Source organism: Homo sapiens, chromosome 6, assembly GCF_000001405.40.
Source record: "Homo sapiens chromosome 6, GRCh38.p14 Primary Assembly".
Classification (NCBI taxonomy): domain Eukaryota; kingdom Metazoa; phylum Chordata; class Mammalia; order Primates; family Hominidae; genus Homo; species Homo sapiens.
Window position 1 is genome coordinate 92,571,998 of NC_000006.12, and position 9,616 is coordinate 92,581,613.

Genomic DNA, 9,616 nt, shown 5'->3' on the forward strand with positions numbered 1-9,616 from the left:
GAATTTTGTGAACTCAGAATTAATGATTATGTGTCTATAAGGGTCAACTCCAGGCAAGAGCCAAAGTAATTTTTTGGTTTATATCAATTCTTTTTTTCTGTTTTACTCAGGGCTACAAAAAAAATTAAAAATTCAGCCATAAACAAGTTATAGAGTAGTTCTTTTTTAGCAAAGGATTTTCCCATTAGGTAATTTAAATATTAGAGCTTCTATTCTGGTCAAATATAATGCAGATATGTATTAGTTACTGTTAATTTTCATACATTGCACAAAATATATAAATTTTATACATTTATGCATTGAACTATAATGTATTGCAACATCGAATTGGCAAATAAAACACTATTTCATCTAAATTATGTCTTTGTAGCGAAGGATGGGGAAATGTAGAAAATGCATCTACATGCTACCTATAAACTTCTGCACTCATTTTTAACTTGAGTGCTTTTGTGGTCTAAAGTAACAGATTAAAGTTTTTGCCAGCATTTTTGGAGCCAGCATCTAATATATTTTATCGCTATTCATAGATAGTAATAAACAAAGTGAGTTATTGTATTAAAAAATTAGTTATATTACATTCTTATTGTTTATTCTTTTAATATTTCTGTCACAGTTGTTTATTTCATATTTACATCTATGTCTTTATGAAACTTTTAATAACATATTCCAGTTAATAAGCTGTGAAATTTGATATAATTTATCAAAATATCTATCTAGTTTGAACATCATTAATCTGTCCTAAATTTAAGAACTTTCTAAATCTTATCTCTATGGTAGTCCAACATGCAGCTCTTTTTATCTTGATATTTTGCCATTTATCATTATCTTATGTTTATACATGTTTAGCCAGCTCACTACCCATGTGACAGTTCTCAGATCCAGGTCAATTTTAATTCATTCTGTATGTCAATATTCATGAGATGTAGCATTGAATGTGTTTCTTTACTCTAGCCAGAATATTTGTGTTTTGGTCTTCTAAACAAACTAAATTTGTGTTGTAAAAGATGCTATTCTCAAAAGCAAATAGAACTATAAAAATATGATTTTGCCCTCATAATAAACCCTTTTTAATATGTTTTATACTATAATGTAAATGTTACTCTAAGTGCATTCTAACTGTTCAGAAATTTTTAAAATAACAAATCCAGTTATATTTCTTTGTAATTTTTTCTGAATTTTTAGCTATGACCAGATAATGATTCAAAAAACATATGATATGGTTTGGCTGTGTCTCCACCCAAGTCTTATCTTGAATTGTAATTCCCACAATTCCCGCTTGTTGTGGGAAGAATCCAGTGGGAGGTGATTGAATTATTGGTGGAAGCTTTCCTGCAATGTTCTCATGATAGTGAATGAGTCTCACGAGATGTTATGGTTTTAAAAATGGAAGTTTCCCTGAACAAGCTGTCTTCTCTTTACCTGCCACCATCCACGTAAGATGTAACTTGCTCCTCCTTTCCTTCTGTCACAATTGTGAGGCTTCCATAGCCACATGGAACTGTGAGTTCTCCATTAAACCTCTTTCCTATGTAAATTGTCCAGTCTCCAGTATGTCTTTATCAGCAGCATAAAAACAGACTAATACATGATAACATTTTCTTTTACAGACTGATGCAACATGAAAGTTTGAAACAGCAAAATATATTTAATAATAAACCTTTAATGTTTTCAAGAGATATTTATGTAAAGGGAATCAGGGGAAACATGGCTGGGCAGTTAGTAGGGTCTATCTTCAGAATGGTCTTGCTTTAAATCTTAAGGCACTTTAGACTGTTGAAAATACATTATAGAATAGGAAGAAATGATAAGCACTATAATCTAGAAAGTTCACTTTGTTAGCATGACAGGGGACACATTTAAAGGGAGAAGAAACAAAGCAGATATTTTGATAAATTGCTATTTTAATATGCCAGGCAAGGATTATGAATAAAAACCAAAACAAATTCAAGGTGAATTAAATATTCAAAACCAAATAAGTTAAACTAAAAATAATTAGAAAAAACATAGAAAAATATTCAAACTATATTTAGAACTAAATACTTTCTAAGTATACACATATTTAAAGAGTTCTTAAAAGAAATATAGATACATTTTGCAAAAACAAACGTATACCTGTATTCATGTGAAGACTTTTAAACTAAGGTAATATCAACACTGATAAAACAAAAAAAAAGATTTGAAAGTGTAATTGTGTAAATACAACATACAAATTGATTAAAATATTGCCAAGAACTTCTTAAGGAATACTGGCAAAAGTCACTAAGAGTAATTCCAAAGAAAGGGAAACGTAACTTTCTAATATACAGAAAGTTTATCTGCATTACTGATCAAAGTTATGCAAATAAGTTCAAAATAACACCCTGCTTCTAAAACTAGTGCAAAAGTTGCTGTCATCAATTTGCTTAAGGCAAATGATGAGCTCTTCCGATCTTCATCAATTTGTCAATCTTCCAAAACTTTAAAGTACTTACATATATTTTGTCATTTATTCAACAAATACTTACTGGATGCCTACTGCATCCTAGGGACTGACCCATGCGTTGACGATATAATGAATGGTAAAGGAGGTAATCATTACCCCCATTATTAGGAAGTATACAATTTTGCCTATATGGATTATTTAACAGGGAAACTTTTCTTTCTAGATAATAAAATTCAGTTAATTTACTTTAAGTCTGAGTCTATTGATAAAGTCGTATATTATCTGGGTCAATAGTTCACTTGAGGAACAGAGAGAGTTAATCTATAGTATCTTCTCGTCTGACAATCCCCGTGTTTTCCAAAACCTTGTGCAGAAAGCTCTTAATGGACATCATAAAATGTTTGGAGATTTGATAAGTTTTCTGAGGACTTTAGTATTGCATTAATGAAAGTTAATTCAGTTCTAATCTGTGATTCTTGGTGGTTAGAACAGGGATTTAATACCAGCGTTAAGAGTCAATATTAGTAGTAACGGTCAAATAACACCATCACAGGAATAGTTTTGGAGACTTTATTTTTTTTTCAACCCAAATTTTGTATTAAAATGTAACTTTAATAAAACTAACACATGCTACTATGTTTCTGGGACTAGTAACAGACACACTGTAGACATTAGGGACAAAGCTCCTCCCCTCATGGGCTGCCTAATGGCTTGGCCTGGTTTCATGCTGCTTTTAGTAAATGTGGGGCTCTCCAGCCTGACTTGAAAAGTAAAGAATATAAAAGTTTCTGTTTATGCTGCCTATATGGCTTTATTATCAGGCCAAAGGCATAAAGGGAAGCCTCATCTCTTCTAATTAGAGTCAAGCCTAGATTATGAAAGAGCTGCAGAATTTTTTCAGGGGTGGAGGTGGGGCACTTATTGAATTTCTTTTACTGAATTGAATTCTATCATAATGGATCCAGATCAACTACTCTTAATCCAAAATTATGTTTAGCGGAAGCTATTCAACTGATCCAATCATTCAGTTTCTGAGGAGAACAACTGTATAGAATTTAATAAAAACCATATTGATTAAATGGAAAAATACAATGAATGCTAAACAGATTTTTCTGACTATAGTTAACATAATTTCATGATTTTCAGACTATAATTATTACGGATTTTCTAATGACACACAAATTCACAGCTTTTTTTTCTTCCCTATGCTGGTGAGCTACTGTGAATTTAGAACAGATTTGCCAGTAGTTTTGTTCTTCATACATGTACTAACTTGGTCTGCTTCTTTCTTCCGAGTAGTCACCCTATCAAGTGCATTGGATGGTTAAGTTTGTACTATGCTTTTTAAAAGAAAGTTTTAACTCTTCTTCCATTTCGCACAGACTATATTGCTCTTTTTTGCAATCAGAATTCACTGCTGTTCAATCTCCATAGAAAGCCTGGTTAGGAAACTGTTATTGATGGAGAACTATTTGAGTGCATACTCCAGTCTAGTATTTCTTCTGGGTGATAACAGAGATAGACAGCTGCAGACTTACTGTTCTTTGTTCATGTCCCATGTAGAATCAATTTTACTATATTGATGGAACTTCTAAGAAGCAAACCCTGCAATTCACTATTTTGTTTACTTTAAAAATATTTTACTGGGATATCAGGCACCAGACAACCATGTCCTCCATTTGGAGATTAGAAAAATGATTCCAGTTAGAGCCTACTACCTGAAAAATCTACACAATTACTCAGCATTTATTTTCTTCATTTCAACCTTATGAAAAGCATGAATGTTTATATTCTTGTGATTATCACTTCTCCTCTACAGTAAGTCTTATAATCAAACTCCCCACTTAACACTAACAACCATACAGAAACATACTACTAGGTTAATTATGTACAGAGGTCACATTCATAGTGTTGAATCCAATGATTGCATTTCTAGGAAGCTATACTAAAGAAATTATCAGAAATTTGGACAAATCTCTGTGACAATTGTTCAACATAAAATTATTCATGATCAAAACCTAGAACAAGCTTGATTATATAGAAGAAATAGTTTAAAATTTGTGATGCATCTCTAAGAGAGGCTATAACCCAGCTATTAAGTAATACTTAATCATTTCAATGACATGGAAAATATTAGGCCAAAAATACAGGGTTCAGAACTTTATTATCCAAAATCTAAACTACTTAAAATCAAATGGGGATAATGGGCAAGATGGCTGATTACAAACAGCTGTGGTCTGTAGCACTCGTGGAGAGGAATGAAGGAACAAGTGAAAACAGCACCTTCAACTAAAATATCCAGGTACTCACAATGGGACTAATAAGGGAAACAACTCGACCCACACAGAATAAAGAAAAGCAAGGTGGGCATCAGCACACCTGGAAGCGACATGAAGCCAAGGGAACCCCCACCCCAGCTAAGGAAAGCAGTGAGTGATTGTGCAGCCCTGGCAAGCCATGCTTCCCCCACGGATCTTTGCAACCCTGGGTCAGGAGATACCCTCATGAGCCCACATCACTAGGGCCTTGGTCCAACACAGAGTTGTGTAGAATCTTGGCAGAGCAGCTGCTCAGGCATGCACAGAGACCCAGGAGTTTTACATACTCCAGCCCCAATATCCCTGGCAAGGTGGGAGGTTCCTACTCTCCTCTATGAAGGGGGATAAGTCCAGGGGGCCCAAGCAACACAGTTCTGCAGGCCCCACTTTCATGGCACCTCACAAGATAAGACCCACTGGCTTGGAATTCCAGCCAGCCACTGACAACAGGGTGGAGCCTGCCTGAGACAGAGCCCCTGGGGACAGGGGCAGGCCACCCTCTCTGCTGTATGGTCAACTCAGCCATTTCTACCTGTGGGCTTTGGACAGTGCAAACAGTCCAGAGGAGGAAGGGTTCTACCACTGCAGCACAGCTGCTTTGCCAGAATGTGGCCAGATTGTTTCTTAAAGCAGGATCCCAATCCATTCCTCTTCAATGGGGGGGACCTCCCAGCTGGGACTGCCAGCCATTCCTGACCATATGCTGCAAACAGAGCTCTGATCTCTCCCTGGAATGTAGTCCTGGGGGGAAGGGGATGTACCACCTCTTTGATCCTTTGGATGACTCAGCCATTCCAGTCTGCAGGCTTTGGAGAGTCCAAGCCAATAGAGGCAGAGGCAGTTACCCAGCACGACTCAGCTGTTTTGTCCAAGTGTGGCCAGACTGCTTTAAGAGGGATCTAGATTCATTCCTCCTCACTCAGTGTGTCTTCCCAGCGGCAGGCTTCTAGCCAGCCCAGCTTATGTTCTATGGCTGCCAGAGTTCTAATTTTTCCCTGTGTTGGAGTGCCCAGGGGGCAGCACAGGCTACAACCCTGGCTGTTCGGGCACCTCAGATGATCCAGCCTGTGAGCCTTAGACAGCTCCCCGAAATTGGAGGTTGAACCCAACACAGCACAGCTGCTCTACCAAAACTGCTCGACTGCTTCTTTAAGGAAGTCCCTGATCCCATTCCCCCTGACTGGGTGAGATCTCCTAATTGGGGTCTCCAGCCACCTCCTACAGGCATGTTCAGGCTGGCAACAGGTCAGTACCTCCCTGGAACAAAGCTTCCAGAGGAAGGGGCAGGCTGCCATCTTTGCTGTTCACAGCTTGTACTAGTGATAGCTCCAGGTACTGGAGATGACTAGGGTCCAAAACAGACACCCCAGCCAATCACAGCAGCACTACAGAAAAGTGGCCAGACTGCTAAAAGAGAAACAAACAAATAGAAAACAGCAACAACAACAAAAACCCATTCAGGGTCAGCAACCTCAAAGATCAAAGGTAGATAAGCATACAAAGATGGCAAAGAATCAATGCAAACATGCTGATAACTCAACAAGCCAGAGTGTGCCTTTTCCTGCAAATGACTGCAACACATCTTAAGCAAGGGCTCAGAAGTGGGCTGAGGCTGATGTGGCTGAAAAATTAGAAGTAGGCTTCAGAATGCAGACAAAAACAAACTTTTCTGTGCTAATGGAACATATTTCCCCAATGCAAAGAAGCTAGGAATCATGATAAAGCAATGCAAGAGATGACAGTCAAAATAATCAGTATACAGAGGAACATAACTTACTTGATATAGCTGAGAAACACACTACAAAAACTTCGCAATGCAATCACAAGTATTAATAGCAAAATCGACCAAGTGGAGGACAGAATCTCAGAGCTTGAAGACTATCTTTCTGAAATAAGACAGGCAGACAAGAAAAGAGAAAAAAGAATAAAGGGAATGAACGAAAACTCCGAGAAATATAGGACTATGTAAAGAGACCAAATCTACAACTAATTAGGGTACCTGAAAAAGACAGGGAGAATGAAACCAATTTGGAAAACATACTTCAGGATATCATCTAGAACTTTCCCAACCTAGCAAGACAGGCCAACATTTAAATTCAGGAAATGCAGAGAACCCCAGTGAACTCCATGAAAAGATCATCTCCCAAGACTGGTAATAATCAGATTCTCTAAGGTCAAAATGAAAGAAAAAAATTGAAGAGTAGTCAGAGAGAAAGTCCATGTCACCTTCAAAGGAAAGTTCATCAGATATAGTGGACCTCTCAGCAGAAACCCTACAAGCCAGAAGAGATTCGAGGTCAACATTCAGCATTCTTAAAGAAAAATATTTGCAACTGAGAATTTCATATCCAGCAAAACTAAGCTTTGTAAGCAAAAGAGAAATAGGACCCTTTTCAGACAAGGAAATGCTGAGGGAATTCATTACCATCAGACCTACCTTGCAAAGGCTCCTGAAGGAAGCATATTAAATATGGAAAGGAAAATCCATTACCAGCCACTACAAAAACACACTGAAGTACACAGATCAGTGACACTATGCAGCAACCACAAAAGCAATTCTGCAAACTAACCAGCTGGCATCATGATGACAGGACCAAAAAGACACATAACAATACTAACCTTAAATGTAAATGGGCTAAATGCCCCTGCCCCAATTAAAAGACACAGAATGGTAGCTGGATCAAGAACCAAGACCCACTGGAATACTGTCTTCAAGAGACCCATCTCATATGCAAAGACACACACAGGCTCAAAATGAAAAGATAGAGAAAAATTTACCAAGCAAATAGAAAGCAGAAAGAAGCAGAGGTTGAAATCCTAATTTCTGACAAAACAGACTTTAAGCCAACAAAGATGATAAAAGACAAAGAAGGGCATTATATAATGGTAAAGGGTTTAATTCAACAAGAAAAGCTAACTATCTTAAATATATGCAACTAATACAGGAATACCCAGATTCATACAGAAAGTTCTTAGAGACCTTCAAAGAGACTTAGATTCCCAAACAATAATAGTGGGAGACTTTAACACCCCACAGACAATGATAAATGGTTCATCAAGGCAGAAAATCAACAAAGATTTTCAGGACCTGAACTCAGCTCTGGATCAAATGGATCTGATAGATATCTACAGAACTCTCCACCCCAAAATAACAGTATATACATTCTTCTTGTCACCACATAATGCTTACTGTAAAATTGATAACATAATCATAACTAAAATACTCCTCATCAAATGCAAAAGAACTGAAATAATAAAAGCAATCTCTCAGAACACAGTGCAATCAAATTAGAACTCAATATTAAGGAATTTACTCAAAACTGTATAAATACATGGAAATTGAACAACGTGTTCCTGAATGACTTATGGGTAAATAATGAAATTAAGGCAGAAATCATGAAGTTATTTGAAACTAAGGAGAACAAAGATAGAATAAACCAGAATCTCTGGGACACAGCTAAAGCACTGTTAACAGGAAAATTTATAGCACTAAATGCCCACATCAAAAAGCTAGAAAGAGCTCAAGTTAACAACCTAACATCATAACTAAAAGAACTAGAGAAGCAAGAGCAACAAACCCCAAAACTAGCAGAAGACAAGAAATAAACAAGATAAGAGCTGAACTGAAGGAGATAGAGATATGAAAAACCCTTCAAACAATCAATTAATCCAGGAGAAGTTTTTTTGAAAAAAATAAAATAAAATAAAATAGATCGCTAGCTAGACTAATAAAGAAGAAAAGAGAGATTGGTTTTGAAATTTCCAAATTGGTTGTGTTCAAATAACCACAATCAGAAATGATAAGGGGGATATCACCACTGACTCCATAGAAATACAAACAACCATCAGAGAATACTATAAACACCCCTATGCACATATAAACCAGAAAATCTAGAAAAAATGGACAAATTCCTGGACACATACAGCCTCACAACACTGAACCAGAAAAAAAAGACTACCTACCAAAACTACCTACCAAAAAAGCCCGGGACCAGATGGATTCACAGCTGAATTCTACCAGAGGTGCAAACAAGAGCTGGTATCATTCCTACTGAAATTATTCCAAAAAATAAAAAAAAAGAGACTCTTGTTTAACTCATTTTATGAGATCAGCATCATTCTGATACCAAAGCCTGGCAGAAATACAACAACAAAAAGGAAAACTTCAAGCCAATATCCTTCATGAATATAAATGCAATATTGTGAAAATGACTATACTGCCCAAAGCAATTTATAGATTCAGTGCTATTAAACTACCACTGACATTCTTCACAGACTAGAAAAACTTATTTTAAAATTCATGTGGAATCAAAAAAGAGCCCAAATATCCAAGGCAATCCTAAGTAAAAAAACAAAGATGAGCAGGGTGTGGTGGCTCATGCCTGTAATCCCAGCACTTTGGGAGGCCAAGGTGGGTGGATCATGATGTCAGGAGATTGAGACCATCCTGGCTAACACAGTGAAACCCCGTCTCTACTAAAAATACAAAAAAAATTAGCTGGGTGTGGTGGCGGGTGCCTGTAGTCCCAGCTACTTGGGAGACTGAGGCAGGAGAATGGTGTGAACCCTGGAGGTGGAGGTTGCAGTGAGCTGAGATCCTCCCATTGCACTCCAGCCTGAGTGACAGAGCAAGACTCTGTCTCAAAAAAAAAAAAAAAAAAAAAAAAACTGTAGGAATCATGCTACCTGACTTCCAAGTATACTACAAGGCTACGGTAACCAAAACAGCATGGTACTGGTACAAAAACAAACACATACGCAGCATGGTGGATCATGCCTGTAATTCCAACACTTTGGGAGACTGAGGTGTGTAGATCACTTGAGGTCAGGAGTTTGGGACCAGCATGAGCAAGATGGTGAAACCCAGTCTCTAGTA

At 37.2% G+C, this 9,616-nt stretch overlaps 2 annotated features.

The window, feature by feature from the left end:
• Positions 4,660-5,499: an enhancer, noted in NCBI's record as "H3K27ac hESC enhancer chr6:93286375-93287214 (GRCh37/hg19 assembly coordinates)". NCBI's record gives its function as "activates a minimal SCP1, AML or CMV promoter by ChIP-STARR-seq in primed H9 embryonic stem cells {active_cell/tissue: H9 hESC(primed)}" and the evidence as "EXISTENCE:reporter gene assay evidence [ECO:0000049][PMID:30033119]".
• Positions 5,500-6,338: an enhancer, noted in NCBI's record as "H3K27ac hESC enhancer chr6:93287215-93288053 (GRCh37/hg19 assembly coordinates)". NCBI's record gives its function as "activates a minimal SCP1, AML or CMV promoter by ChIP-STARR-seq in primed H9 embryonic stem cells {active_cell/tissue: H9 hESC(primed)}" and the evidence as "EXISTENCE:reporter gene assay evidence [ECO:0000049][PMID:30033119]".